General features: G+C 37.9%; 1 pseudogene; it reads right to left on the reverse strand.

The window, feature by feature from the left end:
- Positions 455 to 1,530, reverse strand: FBXL12P1 (FBXL12 pseudogene 1; annotated as a pseudogene).

Here is a 17,570-nt window from a genome sequence, read left to right on the forward strand (position 1 = left end):
GTTCCATTTGTGTATGTGTCTGTTTTTTTAATGACTTTTTTCCTTAATAGCAAAATAATATATGTCTTGAAAAACATGGAAAATGCAGAATACAAAACACAGAAAATACAATTGAGAACCGTTATGAGCATTTTGATCATCAAACTGCAAGTCGAAGTTGCCCTGTCTCTCCCTGTCTCCTGTATGCATGTAAGGATATAAATGGTCTATGGGCTTGTTGGTGTGCATGCATAGGCAGTCTTTCTGGGGTACTCTTAAGGGGGCTCAGCTCCTCGGGTGCCCCTAGCTCTTAATCTCACCCTTCTACATCTGTCCTGTTCCTGAGGACAACCCTGAAAATGACTCTTCATTGACAGCCTTCTGGAGGTTGGGAGCTTTTAGAGCAAGGTTTTGCAATGTAGCTAGGAGGTAGCTGTAGTTTTCCTTGTTTCCACATGTAGGAACTAGGCTTCCAAGAGGCTAACTCATGACCAGTGCCATACAGCTGGCAAACAATGATTCCAAAGGTCTGGGTCCCTAGGCCTCTGTTCTCTCTACCTGGGGCTTTCAGTTCCCTCAAGTCTAATTATCTGCCCTCTTCAAGGTGCTGTTCAGAGGGTCTGAGGCTCAACAATAAACGGTGGGATGGGTCCCAGGGATAGATGAAGTGGTCACACCCACCAGTCCATGGACTCTTTGGGGCAAGCCCTGACAATGACCATACAGTGAAGCAGCCCCTTACACATGGTCCTATTGGCCTCCTGACTCTCCCACCCCTGCCACTGCAGCTCAAGGACTCTGAACTTGGACATGGTGAGGCAGGAGGAGAGGATTTCCGTGAAAGAGGGAATTTCTAGGGTGTTGAGAAGACCCTGCTGGCACAGACTCTCCAGGGCTGGCATTCCCTCCAGGACAGCCAGGCCAGGGGCAGAGAGGCCCCTTAAGGTCAGCCTGATCTTGCGCACGGCTCGCGGGTAGCGGCTGATGGCCAGCAGGGTGCTGTCTCAGAGAGGTTGCGGCCCAGCACCTCAAGCCCCTGCAGGTAGCTGAGCTCCTGCAGGCTGGCATCCAGCCGCAACTCCCTTACACGGTAGGTGCCGCCCCACCAGAAAGCGCAGGACCTGGAAGCGTGACAGGCCCTGCTGGTGCTCGTCTCTGAAGGCAGGGACGCAGTCCAGCATGATGCATTCGAACAGGGGCAGCATGGTGGGGTCCAGCTGCCTGAGGAGCCAGGCCATGGAGATCTCGCAGCTGTGCAGCTCCAGGGTCCCCAGGGCGCTGCACAGGCTGGTGATGGGCACCGTGCTCAGGTCGGCCACGTGCAGGCAGAGGCGCTTCGGGTTGGGGCACTTCTGGCCAGGGCTCTTATCAGGACAGGAGACAACTGGAGCCAGAGAACAGGTAGCCGCCCATCCACAGGGAATGAAGCTGGGATGCCATGTACCGGCCAAGGAGGTGCTACATGACTTTAAATCGCATCATGTAGAGCGTCAGGTCGACGTGTCACCACAGCCACCGTCGTCCACCAGCCTCTTCTAGCGGTGACAAACCCTGAGGAAAGGGATCTGCGGTTAGAACCACCTCGGCCCCAGGTGGGATCCGGGATCTGCATCTCCAGGTACCAGGTGCGCCCTCCGTCCGGTCTTCTCCGCCCCCACCCCGCCCCGTCCCCACAAGGTGGGGACGGGGCTGCAGATGTAGATGCGGATCTGGTCCCAGACCGGGAGGTAAGAAAAGATCTCGAGCTGTGTCTGTTTTGATGCCACTACTGTGCTCTTTGGGTTACATTAGGTCAGTATAATAGGAAGCCAGATAACGTGATTCCTCCAGTTCTGTTCTTTTTCTCAGGATAGCTTTGGCTATTCTGGGACTTTTGTGGTTTCATATAAATTTTAGGATTTTTTTTGCTATTTCTGTGAAGAATGTCATTGGTATTTTGATAGGGATTGCATTGAATCTGTAGATTGCTTTGTAGCATGGACATTTTAAAAATACTTCTTCTTCCAATCCATGAACATGGAATACACTTCCTTTTTTTGTGTTCTCTTCAATTTCTTGCATCAGTGTTTCATAGGTTTCATTGTAGAAATCTTTTACTTCTTTGGTTAAGTTTATTCCTAGGTATTTTATTTTATTTGTAGCTATGGTAAATGGGATTACTTTCTTCATTTCTTTTTCAGACTGTTTTCTGTCAGCATCATGTTACTGATTTTTTGTATATTGATTTTTGTATCCTGCAACTTTACTGAATTTATTTATTAGTTCTAATAGTTTTGGGGTGGATTTTTTAGTTTTTTTCAAATATAAGATCATATCCTCTGCAAACAATAATAATTTGACTTCTTCCTTTCAAGATTGGATTCCCTTTATTTTTTTCTCTTGTCTGATTGCTCTAGCTAGGACTTCCAGTACTGTGTTGAATAACAATGGTGAAAATGGGCATCCTTGTCTTGTTCCAGATCTCAGAGGAAAGGCTCTTAGTTTTTTTCTGTGCAATATAGCCATTTGGGTGTTCTTTAGACAGAAGGAAAATCTTCCATCTAGAATAATTTTCCTTCTTTCTGAAGAATAACGTTTAGAATTTTCATTTGTGTGAGTCTGCTAATGACAAATTTTCTAAATTTAGTGCTTGCTTGAAAGGTCTTTACCCTCATTAAAGGAAAATATTTTCAGTAGGCTTAGAATTTAAGGTTGGCAATTTTCTTTTTCAGCACTTCAAAATATGATCCTATTGTCTTCTGGTTTCCACCATTTCTGTCAATTGTGAGTTAAATTGTTCCCTCTTCAAAGGCAATCTTTTTTTTAATCTGGCATTTTGTTTTTAAACTTTGGTTTTTGGTAATATTGTCATGATATACCTAAATGATTTTATTTATATTTATCTTGTTTTGGATTTGTAGGGCTTCCGTGGCTTGATGAATTTCATTAGTTATGGAAAATTCTTATCTCTAATTTATTCAGATTGTGCTTCCACTCCATCCTCTTTCTCTTCTTTTTATGGAGCTATAATTACTCATAAAGTAGAGCTTTTCACTTCATTCTCATGGTTTTCACCCCTATTCTCATTTTCCATCCTTTTTGTATCTCCATATTTCCTTCTGGATATTTTCTTTAACCCATCAGGCTGTTCCTAATTCCCTCATCAGTTGTGTCAATCTGCTCTTAAACCCAGCTACTGAGATCTTCCGATTTCTGTCATTACATTTTCTCTACCAGATTTTCTGTTTGATTTTTTATTTATAGTTTCCACATTTGACAAAATTCTCAATCTCATTCTTTGCCATCTTCACCAAAGTACATTTACTTAAAATTCTGTATCTGATAATGTCAATGTCTGGAGCCCTTGTGAATCTATTTTCATTGTGCTATTTTTGTCAGCTTTCACTCATGCCTCCTATCTAGATTTTTTTTTTAGTATGCCCTGAATATTGCATTTGCAAAATTCCTTGTAGAAGTAACTTGAGGCCTTAAATAATGATATTATGTTTCTCCTGGAGAGATTTAATTTTCCTTAGCTGGTGCCTGGGGATACTAGCACTTCTGGATCACCTGCCAGGGTCAACTTCTCATTTGCCTTCCCATGCTTCTAAAGTGCAACCCTTTGTGGTCCCAACTCAAAGTGGGGAAAAGAACTACTAGGACACTTTCCCAACTTGGGTGGGCCCTCGACACCAATCCCTGTTGCTTTAGCTTCATGGGGCATCAAAACCATTACACGTTGCCTGTAATCCCAACACTTTGGGAGGCCAAGGTGGGCAGATCATTTGAGTTCAGGAGTTCAAGACCAGCCTGGCCAACATAGTGAAACCCCATCTCTACTAAAAATAGAAAAATTAGCCAGGCATGGTGGTGCACACCTGTAATCCCATAATCCCAGCTACTAGGGAGGCTGAGACATGAGAATCACCTGAACCCGGGAGGCATGGAGGTTGCAGTGAACCGAGATCATGCCACTGCACTCCAGCCTGAGCAACAGAGTGACTCTGTCCCCCCGCAAAAAAACATCACCCACCCACTTGAACTCTCAGACTCTATTTCCAGGAAAAGAGGAAAAGAATCCCCAGCTACAGGATCATCTCTCTGAGCCTTGCCCCATCTCTAGATCCTGGCCTTGGGATCGTTCACTATCTTGTTAGCTCTCTGGGATCTTTAAGCAGAAAGATGTGCTTAATTTGTTTGTTGGCTTGTTTTCAAATTGTACTCAGCAGAAGGGTCAATCAAAGTTACTTTCTCTACCATTACTAAAGGCAGAATGCACTTAAATATAATTATCTTCTTTATTTTTAATTTTAAATAAGAGGAGCTAGGAAAACAAAAAGCTTCCTAATTCTTCGTATTCCCAAATGGTTCCTCAATTTATAATTACTTAATCTAGAGGAACTAAATACTCATTTGACCAAATTAATTTATTTTAGAAAGCATTAATTTAAACAAATGGTCATGTCAGAATATTAATGTGATTTTCACTTCAATCAAAGCTGTGCTTCATAGCCACAAAGTTTATCATTGCTGGTATAACCATAAGAATACTAGATATACACCCCATAGGAAAAATTTACCTTTGAGTTGTTCATTGAGATTATGATTTTAATAAAACAGATTAAAGATATTTCAAAGCTTGTGTAACTATTTTAAATTTTCAAAATCATTACATAAGTATAGTAGCTCAAGCACTATCTAATTCAAAATTGCCATTCCTGTCCAATAATGAGTTTTTCCAATTTTGCTGTATTCAAATTTTAACCATTTAAGAAATCTGATTTAAATAAAAAATGTATTTTATGATCAGAAAACTTTGATCTTTAGAACCTCTTCAAGTTAGTGTTTGAGACTAAGAAATTGCTTTTTAACCTTACAAATTCATTCACCATTTAACAAACATTTGTTGAGCACCAACTATATATCAAACATACAAGTAGAATACAAAGTTCCTTTTAAAAAATATCAGACTCTTGCTCATTTACTTTGCTGATTTATGTGCCATGTTAAACATTACTGTCTGTAACATAATCAGTGAAAACAATATTTCCCAGTTCTCTGTGTAATGTGTCTTTTTAAGACAGCCTTGAAATTTAATCCAATGTCTGCATTATCTTCCTCATAAAAGGGGACAAATGCAACTGATAGTAAATGACATCAACATTCTTTTCTACTCACCCAGCAAAAATTATGACCTGTGGTTGGAATATTTCTAAAGCAAGTCTATGGCTAATTGGAACTTGTTTCTACAGCAGGGTTCATTTGAGAATTGGATAAGGATTGTAGATGTAACAGATAAGGTATCTGGCTTGCCAGAGTCATAGATGCCCTTTTAAGTGAGGAAATGAAAGTTGAGTGAATGTTAAGGAAAGTTTTAAGGTCCCAGCTAGCTAAGGCCAACTCAAGTCCAGAATCCATTTCTGTCTCCCAGGTCAATCTTTTGTGTAGCATACAATGAAATTGAGCATTTTGATTCTATAACTAATAGCTTCTGAATGTGTTTTCACTGGTGTGTATATACAAATAATTTTGTTAAATTTTTTGAACGTTTTGAGGTCTGGGGTTTCTTTTCTTTTTATCATTTCAGACAGAATAGAGAAAATACCAATTTCTGAAGACCTATAATCATGAAATAGGCTCATTTCAAGTTAGGAAGACTATTTTATGTCTATAAGAAATTAGCAGTATCTGAGATGGTTCAGATGAACCTTATGTTCATTTTTATGTTTCTTTAATAGCATAATAAATAGGCTGGAAGGAAAGAGGGAAGCATCCCTTCCTTCACAGCAAAGTTAGGATTGTACCAGGGAAGACCATGGCTAGCTGACAACATTTTCAGCACTTCTTTCCTAGTGTATTTTTTGTTTGTCTTCAACTTACAGATCCCCTTTTGGAAAAGTAAGATAACGCAACTAAAGACAAAGTAATGGACGTTAAAAAACGTTTCTGTTGTGTAAGCCTTTTGCCAAGTTATTATCTACTGCAGTCTCTAGATCAGTGGTTCTCAACCTCGGAAGCACAATACCATATGCTGAGGAGCTTCAATGAATGATGATGCCTGCGCCATCCCCAGGAAGTCTGATTTGTTGGTCTGGAGTGGGGCCTGGTCATGGGGATATTTTTTAAGCTCTCGGAGTGATGTGGAGCTAGAGCTGACAGCCACTGCTCTCTGCATTGCTCTAGTCAAGAGGGACAATTTCCATTAGTAGCAAAAATGGGGACTCTGTTCTTTATGGTGTGGGCTTCTTTCTCTAAATGAATTACAGAAGGGCTGACACTCTCTCATATAAGATAAAGTCCTTTTCTTTTGTTAGAAATTTTTCACTACCTGACTCCTTCAAGGATTGGGCCATGGTCTCAAACCACCTAGCAAAACCTTAGCTGTCCACACAGAATTGGTAAGACTCTAGGGTCAGGTTTCAGCCAAAGAACCTTACAAATGCAAGATCTGAGAACTCTAACTTCCCCCTAATGACCTCTTCATCTATTAACTCAGAAATCTTATTCGAGACAAAACAAAATAGAGAAAAAACTAGAAGAGAAACTTTCATTCAATTTGCCCAGTTTTGATGTAAAATGTCATCTTAATTTTACTACCACCAACCTAACATTTTAAATACCATTTTCTTCTGAAAACATGACTTCTTTTCATTTGAGTTTGTATAGGCAATGGAGGAAAATTAGCATGGTTTTACCTGCTTTATAGATGGAGAAATGTACGCCTAGTTTCTGTGATCTTTTCAAAGTCAATAGTCACCGACGGAACGAAAAAGTCAAAGCTGTGTTGTAATGTTCTTTCTGATGTTCTACAATTCATACTAAAAAATATTCTACCAAGATATTTACCTGAAGATGTATTTTAGGAATCATGATTTAAGGCTAGATCACAAAATTCAGTGAAATTTAAAAGAGCCATAAAAATAATAAATCTGGAACAAAGTAAATCCTGCAACTTGATGGATAGGCCTCTATGGTCTGTAAAGACACATACAAATTATATGTGGTTTTACCCTTTAGTTTTACAATCACTGACTTTCAAAATGATTTTTTTCTCATTATATTTATAATTTCTGTTAATAGATAGCTAATACAAATGAAATAATGTGACAAAATGATAGGTATGGGGGGAATTACAAGTGATCATTACTGAAGAAGGGCATAGAAATTTCTTTTCTAGAAAATTTCCAAGAGGATTTACAGACCTCTGTCCCCAAATACTCTGAACTAGTAGAAATAGCAAATTAGACTCTTTCAGCATAGTGACTCTACATAGTTTCTGAAGAAACTAAATACGCTTCACACAAATCTATCTTGCATTAAGACAATAAAAATGTTCCTCCTCCTAGCCCCCCCTCAAAATAAAATAAAATAAAATAAATCTCCAAAGAGAAGGAATGGTGAGGATAAGAATTACTTATCTCTCCTTGTTCTTGGTTTTAGTAGATATTGATGGCCAGAGTCCAAGCCCAGGATGATGTTCAACTATAGTTTCAGATTGGGGGTCCAGGTCTCAGTACCTATAAATACTGCTGAAGCATCTTGAGTACTATTAAAGGAAAGTGAACATCGAGGCTCTGATGGCCATATACCTTGTTGCAGGGCGTTGGGGGAGGACTTACCTCTTTTCCCAAACTTTATTTCCATTAAGAATCAAATTACATAAAGCCCACTGATCCATATCATACATACATCAAAAAGCAATGATAATGTTGCCAACAAGAAATAAATCAAGAAGGGTTCAGGCTCCAAGTAACCCAGAAGGCCCCAAGCTCAACAGGGGAAGAAACACAAACTCTGCTCTTCCATAACCCTCCAAGAATAAGCCCCAGAATGATAATACCTTCGCTGCGTTCAAAACTCAGCTCTCTGGACAAAAGCAACTTCTCCATTCCGCACTTATTTTTTGTAACTCATTTAGAGGTTTTAAGTTAAGTTAAATATATTTTTTTCCAAAAATTAAAAGATTCTTTTAAAGTAAGCAAATAAGCTTGAAAAATACTTGGGAGAAATAGGAAGCTCTATTTTCAACTAAACAGATTTCAAATTTCTGCACTGAAATCAAATTAAAAAGTATTTTTTACCTCATTGCTGCTTCATTACTATTTCACCTTTTTAGTTTGAGAGATTTATTGTATGTATTGAGCTATATATGGTACTCAGTTTGGAACTAAGCCATTGTACATTTATAGAAATGGTATGAAATCTTCAGAGGCTCATATTACTTAAAATCTGCTTGCTAAGTGATTTTTTAAAAGAAAAATGAAAAACTCTTGTCTATGAACAGGGTCTCTCCAAACTCTGATTTTTCTCTAAGAATGCTCTTTAAAACAGGCTATCAAGGAAAGGGACTCTTTTCCATTGTCCCTTGTCATTCAAAGTCTCTCTTCACAAGTTCTTAGTATCTGACTTGGATTTTTTCTTTACCATTATAAATACCACTATTGCATAGAAATCTTGGAAGACATTTTTGTGACTAAAAGAAACTGAAAAAGGAGAAATTTACAGTATGGCTTTGGTAATAATAAAGCATAAATTTAACTTTTCACACTTAGGGTAACATATATTAATATTTAGTCATGAGATCTGCTGGGGTTTCATCTGCTGTAGATAGCTGTCAAGTTTTAATCACTGTATCATTTTCTTTCCACCATGCATGAAATACAAAGAATAGCTTTCACTTCATTTTTGTGTACACAAAGGCACGATAGAAAATCTCCTATGTTCTTTTGCTGCCATCCAGTGGTTCTGATTGATAAATGCAATGATGATAAATCTAACATGAGACAGAAACATATATGGGTATGAAAGAGACACATGTACACCTTTAAGAAAGCCTAAAGCATGAAAAACCAAATTGTTGAAAGTGATAAGTTTTAAATGGGATAGTTACATTATAAAATGTTCCTCTGTGTTGCATGAAGATTGAGGGAAAACCTCCCTTAGATTGTAAGTTCAAGCAAGAGTGGGGACACTGAACTTCACTCTCCCATTGTCACAGGCTAGCTGGGCATCAGCACTTAGTAGGCACTCAGGAAACACTTGCTTACCACAGCTTTTTTATTAACTGATTCATTAAAATGCTAATTATAATCACAAGCGGGGAAGCACAGTGCAAACTTTTTTGCAGTTGAGTGTAATTTAGCCAATTGTCTCCTGGTGTGGGGATTTCTTACTTTCTATAAAGAGCAGTTTTACATAGCGGTGAACAGGAGTTGGAGGGAGAGGGAGAATTCGTAAGTTTAAGGTAAGAATTATTTTTGAGAAATATAACCAGGTGTATCAATACTATGTTTCTTGAATAGTTTTAAGATGGTCTAAGCTGGAGGATAAACTGCCAAACATTATCAAAAATGGCTATTCAGGGCCAGGCATGGTGGCTCACGCCTGTAACCCCAGGACTTTGGGAGACACAGGCGGACAGATTACTTGGGGCCAGGAGTTCAAGACCAGCCTGGCCAACATGGTGAAACCCAATCTCTACTAAAAACACAAAACTTAGCCAGCCATGGTGGTGCGTGCCTGTAATCCCAGCTACTCATGAGACTGAGGCATGAGAATCGCTGGAGCCCAGGAGGCGGAGGTTGCGGTGAGCTGAGATCACTTCACTGCACTCCAGCCTGGGTGACAGAGTGAGACTCTGTCTCAAAATTTACAAAAAAACAAACAAAAAAAAGCTAGTCAGAATTTTTCTATTGCTGACACTAGCAATAGAGCACACCATAAAAAATGTGATGTGGCTCCAAATTATGAAGTCGGTATGCAGGTGTAACACTGACACCACACTAACCCAAACTGAAACCAGCTAGATAAGTGTTTGAAAATTCAGAGCAAGTTTGGCCAATCAGCAAATAGAATTCATGACTGACCTAGGTCGTCTCCTCCGGTAAAACCTCCTCCATGTAGCTCCTCGGCCAGTAATTAGGCTTAAAGGGAAGAAAACAGTGGTTAAGGCGGAGCCTCCAGAATGGCCCCACATCCTAGCCTCACTAACCGCATAATCTTGGGCAAGGCCTAACCTCTCTGAGCCTTGATAGCTTTACCTGTAAACAGAAAATAATACCCACCTCAATTGGCTTCTTGTGTAGATGACAAATGAGGAACACAGTGCCTGGCAAAGACTCAGTGTTAGCTGCCATAAATGCATATATACCACATGCACACACGTACATGGCATTAACAGACACACACACACAGAACAAACACTATTCAGAGCAGAGGGAATGATTGGACAATCTTTCTACTCAGTTGTAAATCATTTATTAAATTTAATAACCTATACTTTAGTTACAGAGACTGGTACAAAAAAAGTAAACATTGCGCCTGGGTTCCAGATGTGAAAACGACAATCCAGTGGGAATTTTAAGATCTCACTTATTCCACTTTATTCACTTTATCATAATAAAAAGCAAAAATATTTAAAACAATTAGTAAGAAGGGCATCAAAAACAAGACCTCAGTAAATTCAATTATACTTTCCAAGTCACATATTAAGAAGCATTTCTTATTTATCTCTGACAAAAATATCTAACCGTGGAAGAGGATTCTTACTCTTTGTCTTTTAGGAAGTTGGATATATTGAAAATGTCTTCCAATGAGTCAGGGAATTCAAAGAATTTCAAGATGCATTTTAAGTTAAAGTCCAAGTTTATTCCGAATGAAACGTTCTATTTCCCAGCATCTCAGGAGCCAGACCCTAGCTCCTTTCCAATTTTCTTATTAAGAAATTTAAGATTTTTCTACATCTCATTTGATCATTTACATCATATTTTTAAATCTCTGCAAAAACGTATGGCAGAACCTATAAACAAAATCTTGAAAAACAAATTACAGCACAACTGAATGCTGGTGAGGAGGAGGTGCAATGGCAACTTGCATTCACTGATGTTGGGAATGCAAAATGGTATAGCCACTTTGAAGGACAGTTTGGCAGTTACAAAACTGAAAATACTCTTAACATAGAATCTAGCAGTTGCACCTCTTAGTATTTGCCCAAAAGAATTGAAAACTTACGTCCACACAAAAACCTACACATGATGTTTACAGCAGCTTTATTCATATTTGCCAAAACTTAGAAGGAACCAAGGTGTCCTTCAGTAAGTGAAGGATATATAAACTGGTGGTACACCTGGACAATGGAATACTTCTTAGTGCTAAAAAGAAATGAGCTATCAAGTCATAAAAAGACATGGAGGAAACTGAAATGCAATTATTAACTGAAAGAAGCCAATCTGAAAAAGTTACATACTGTATGATTCCATATGACATTCTAGAAAAGGAAAAATTATGAAGACAGTAAAAAGGTCAGTGGTTGGCAGAGGTGGGAGTGGGGAGAGGGATGAATAAGTGGAGCTCAGTGAAAATACTATATGATACTGCAACGGTGGGTACATGTCATTATATATTTGTCCAAACCATGGAACGTACAACACTGAGAGTGACCCCTAACGTAAATGATAAAGTTTGTGTGATTATGATGTGTCCATGTAGGTTCATCAGTTGTAATAAATGTGCCATTATGATATATGATGTTGTTACCGGAGAAGCTTGTGGCTGTGTGGGGACTGGGGTCTACAGGAACTTGCTGTGAACCTAAAATTGCCCTAAAAATAAAGTTTACTAATTAATTTTTTTAATTATATACAAAGGGGAAGAGGAATACAGGCAAAAACAAAAAATCTCACACAATTATAGAATAGTTTCTGTAAATTTCAAGGCAGTACATAACAATTAAGCTTAGCAAACCAAACTTTAAGATATGTATTAAGTTGTACATAGTACCTACCACAAAAGGACTTACACATACATTACCACTATTTCCAAAAGATGCTTTTAACATCTTTTTTTCAATGTTACATATTTTAGGCTGGGTGTGGTGGCTTACACCTGTAATCCCAGCACTTTGGGAGGCCAAGGCAGATGGATCACCTGAGGTCAGGAGTTCAAGACCAGCCTGGCCAACATGGTGAAACCTTGTCTCTACTAAAAATACAAAACTTAGCCGGGCATGGTGGTGGGCACCTGTAATCCCAGCTACTCAGGAGGCTGAGGCAGGAGAACTGCTTGAACCGGGAGGTGGAGGTTGCAGTGAGCCAAGACCACACCACTGCATTCTAGCCTGGGAAAGAGTGAGACTCCGTCTCAAAAAGAAAAAAAGAAAAAAAAAGGTATATATTTTAATTATGTTAAGTTACTGTAAATGCCTAGCTGAAAGAATAAAATTTAATTACAGGTATTTCTAACGTTATGTATTTACACAACATCATGTAGCTGGGAAACCTCAAATAACTTTTGCTAAAATAAAATTTTAAGTGGTATCAATAATTAAGAAATTATTAGGTTAGCCTTTATTAGTGTTGTCTACAAATTTTAAAAGGTGATAGATAAAATCTGGCAATTCCAATTCTATAAACCCAAATTTCAATTGTTCTTAGGACAAATTCTAAAATGATGTTACATTTTGCGACATCTTTGACAATGTGTAATATTTAGTAATATTCAATTTCCATTATAATCCAGTTAGGTTCCAGTGAGACAACAGATTATAAACACATTTCCTACAAACTAACCTCCCCTGATGAAAATTAGGTACAATAAAAATCCCTTTCAATTTAGCATTATTAAGACATTCAAGCAAAAATCACACTATCATTTACATATGATAACCCTACTGTTGCGGTGTCTAAACTTATCTTGGTAAGATTCAGAAGTTTCAAAATACCATGGAAGGCAGATTTGGAAGAGACCTACTTCCAAATAAGAGTTCTTATTCTCTAACTATATCTGGAAGGCAACTTGTCTAAAAGTAAACTGAGCCCAAATTTAGGAAAAATAGTTAATGCTCACAGACTATATATATGTATATATATGATAATGAAATATTTGCTACCACATTTAAGTATTCTTATATTATTTCTCCATCACTGAAATGTTTTATTGCTTAAAATTTCAGTAACTAAATAACTCGTATTCACAGGAGTACCTCATTGTCATGCTGCTTCTTTGAACGAATTTTGTTGCTTGTCACTACAACTTTTTTTCTCTTTCGTTTTACCAAAGAAATTATGTTTATGACAACAAAAAATATTCACCATGAGAATCTGATGGGAAAAAATAGAAACAGAAAAAACCAGAAACAAAACTATCTACTTCATTCCTGCTGGTGTGAGGGACTCTCACTTGTAAACCTTTTCTGTCTTTAGTTCTGGTGATAACTTTCCTAACACTCACCTACATTTGCTGTATCACTGGATATCATCTACTAGCTCCCCAGCCTGAAAACTCAGGATTTAATTTATACTACTTTCTCCCTTCCAATTTTTGATAGAAGAATTAAAAAGAATAAATCACCATTACCTTTGAAAAATAAACGTAAAACCGTATTCATCCACCGGTTTTGTACAGCATCTGTGTTTCTCACCACATAAGGATGACCCTCTAATATGTTCTCTATTTCTAACTCACTTCTGCCTATTCTACCTTTACTTTTATACTGGCAAGGTCAATTTCATTTACTTTCTTGTTTTACCTATCAGTTGATTCTAAACGCTGAAAACCAATAAAGCAACATTTACAATATTTAAAAAAAAAAAAAAAACTGGGCCCAAACTATTAAGAGTATGAACCCACTTTGACCCTAAATCATTAAGGGTGAGAACCCACTTCTGAGTTCTCACTAGAGCTCTTTTTTTTGTTTTGTTTCGGTTTTTGTTTTAATAGAGATGGAGGCTATGTTGCCCAGGCTGGTCTCAAACTCCTAAACTCAAGCAATCCTCCCGCCTTGGCCACCCACAGCGCTGGGATTATAGACATGAGCCACTGCGCCCAGCCTCTGAGTTCTCTAATACCTTTTTTTTTTTTTTTTTTTTTTTTTTTTTTTTTGTCTTTTGAGACGGAGTTTCGCTCTTTGTTGCCCAGGCTGGAGTGCAATGGCGCGATCTCGGCTCACCACAACATCCGCCTCCTGGGTTCAAGCGATTCTCCTGCCTCAGCCTCCCGAGTAGCTGGGATTACAGGCATGCGCCACCACGCCCGGCTACTAATTTTGTCTAATGCCTAACTTTAAAGAAAGAAAACTGGGCCAGGCGCCGTGGCTCATGCCTCTAATTCCAGCACTTTGGGAGGCCGAGGTGGGTGGATCACTCGAGGTCAGGAGTTTGAGACCAGCCTGGCCAACATGGTGAAACCCCATCTCTACTAAAAATACAAAAATTAGCTGGGCACGGTGGCGGGCACCTGTAATCCCAGCTACTCGGGAGGCTGAGGCAGGAGAATTGCTTGAACCCAGAAGGTGGAGGTTGCAGTGAGCTGAGATCCCGCCACTGCACTCCAGCTTGGGTGACAGAGTGAGACTCCGTCTCAAAAAATAAAAAAATAAAGAAAACTGAATATCACACTATACAGTTAAGAATTTATAGACACATACACATTTTTTAAAAATGTCTATCTGGATGAATCCAATACGCGATTTTTTAAGTGGTGTGTGCTTATCCAAGAGGACAAATTATACACATATTCTGGCAGATTTTTTTCAGGATTTTCGTTATTTGAACCTGACTGTTGCATTACATTAGGGAAAGATCACATGGCAGATGATAATAGGCATGGTGAAAATCTCCTCTCCATGGAAACCCGACAGGGTTTTAAGTAAATTTCTTCAAGCAAGATAAAGATTAAGAGATGGCATACTCAACACTCAATCATAACTGACAGTATGTTAGAAAGGTCTGAACATTTTGGCTTCAGAAAGAGTATAACAGACCCTTGACATTTCAAGGTGTAAGTTCCAAGATTTTTGCCCAAATTCAAAAGTATTCTTGAATAACTTTACCCAGGTTCCTGGTTTTCTTCAGAATTACACTTTCATCTTGTGCCAAAGATTTTTACACACATTTTCACATCCAAGTTATTAATCTTCTCAATCGTGTCCACTCAATAATGGCCATTGTGTGTGTTTCCTAGGGCTGCCATAACAAAGTATCAATAACTGGGTGGCTTACACAACAGAAATGTGCTGTCTGGCAGTTCTGAAGGCTAGCAGTCCAAAGTCACAGGATCAGCAAAGTTGGTTCCTTCCGAGGATTATGAGAATCTGTTCCAGGCCTCTCACCTAGCTTCTGGTGGTTGCTGGCAATCTTTGGTATTCCCTGGCTTACAGAAGCATAATCCCAAACTCTGCCTTAATCTTCACAGGTGTTCTCCCTGTGTGCATGTTGTGTCCCAATTTCCCGGTTTTATAAAGGCATATTGGATTAAGATCCACCCTAATGAATTACATCTACTATGGCCTTATTTCTAAATAAGGATACATTAAGAGGTATTGAGGTGTAGGACTTCCATGTATGAATTTTAGGGGAACATAATTCACGCCATAGAAGCCATTTATCACATGATAAAAAGTTTGACAGCTCCCAACCACTACAACCATGTTTGGATAACTGCTGAATCTCCTATGCCTAAAACAGAACATGGTACACAGGAGTTCAATAAATATTTGTTGAATGAATGAGTGAATAAATGAATGAGACTGCAAGTGAGGGAAAAAAAAAACTGTGGATGCTAAGAGGTTAGCCAAGCTAAATCATTAGCTGAATAATGCCTTCCTGCATGGAATTTAGCAGGAATTAAGATTATGTCTTGGCAAAATTACAAAATAACTCTATACTCCATGGACCTCTAAAAGTCACTCACAAATAGTAAAAATCACAAGTGTTAAAAGTCACAAATGTCAAAACCCACAAAATCCAGCAACTTTTAAATAATTATCTCTTTCTTAAGGGAAAAATAATAAAGTATCAAAACTAGGGAAGCAAATTATTTGTTTAAGTAAGGAATGCATTATTAGTGAGATTAAAGGCCATCAAATGAAAAAAAATACCAGACACACATTAGAACATGGTCTATAGGCAATCCAATGCTCTAGCACTAAATCAGAGGTGATTCTAATTTTGCTATTTTAATAACTAAAGTTTTTTGTGTAAGGTCCAAGACAAATTGTACTCTATAACAAAGTGGGTATAACAAGCTTCTATTCTTTTTACAATAACATTTTTCAACATAGCATCTCAATAGATAATACCTACATAACAAGAAATTGAAGGCATTCTTTCTCTTCCTCCTAATAATCTCATTCAAATCATATCACTATGAATTGCCTGGGTACTTGGCTTTAAAATATTGTATTACTGTAAGCTTGAAATTCAAGCTCTGGATAGGTCTACATTCATTTCAGCAGAAGCATCTTGAAATGCTGAATTATCATCTTCAATTTTCTTCATTTATTGCAGCTGCCAAACTGAAATGGTACACCTTAAAGGCAACACTAAACTGAAAAGCAAATAATAAAAGAGTCTCTTAAATGTTTCATTTATAAAAGCTTATTTTTCCCCCATCAAATTTTGTATACTGTCTGAAATATATCACTTTACAAAACTGACATCTTGCATACAGTTATTCTGCTATGATAGATTTGCTAAACTTCAAGGCTAATTGTGGGGAGAGGGAGTAAAAACCAGCATCTCGTTTCAACCTTTTAAGAACAGATGACTAACACAGAGCTGGTGGCTTTAGGTTTCTAGCTGGGCAGGGAGTTGGGAGATATAAAGTTAAAAATTAAACCTCAATTGCCAATAGCTATCACTATAGCTCTCTCTTTTCTGAACACTTTACTAATCTTTCTGGCTGTGTTAAAAATTATGCCATAATCTCAGACTTCTTGAGGGAATAATAAAAAGTTATGCCATAAATAAGCACTTTAAAAAGGCACATCAAGTCAGAGGGTGGCTATTCTAAAGAGTAGTCTATGGCTGTACACCCACTTTGATAGGAAAATGAATATGCAAACCAAAAAACATTCAAATCATTTTCTTGAAAGCCCGCTAACAGGTAATATAATAGCAAATTATTCAAATGAAACAAATCTACAGAATTCCATTATAAAATCCTGTATACTTTCTGCCAACATAGTTGTTAATGACAACTATAAAATGCTAATATATGAACAAAATATGGCTTGTATTTCCAAAACTGGAGAGTTTTAGATCAGAATATAGGGAAAGATAGATGTTTATATTTGTAAATTATGTTCACGTCACATTGATATAAAATACGTTGCTACCAAGATCATTCAGGAAAAGAGCCACTGAATTTATCTGAGCAGGTTTTCTAACTATGCTATGAAGGGAGAAAATGAGACATCAGTGCTTTTTCTTCCCTTTAGATACCAAATTTAGCTATTACATGAGGCTGAGTCACTGTTCACATCTTTCTTAGTTAATGTCACTTTGCAAAGCCAGAATTTCTGGTAACTTATTGAATAAAATTATAATTTAACTGTATGATAAACTGAGTGATTCCTAAAGTATCTTTTTCTCCAGTGACCTACTTAAGAAAAAAGTATTTACATTCAATACGCTGTCCATTTTTGAAGTCTTTCCTACACTTCTGGTCAATTTTAAATACCTTATTTAGAAATAATGCCAATCCATTTCTAATTGCTAAGTAGAAGGATTTTTTAATCTACAGGGTATCTTAAAACTAATCAACCTGACATAACTTCCTAATTCCAGGAATGTAACATAATTCAAGCTTCAATTTTTCACTCAACATATTCTGTT

The sequence above is a fragment of the Homo sapiens genome, chromosome 2 (genome assembly GCF_000001405.40).
Source record: "Homo sapiens chromosome 2, GRCh38.p14 Primary Assembly".
Lineage (NCBI taxonomy): Eukaryota > Metazoa > Chordata > Mammalia > Primates > Hominidae > Homo > Homo sapiens.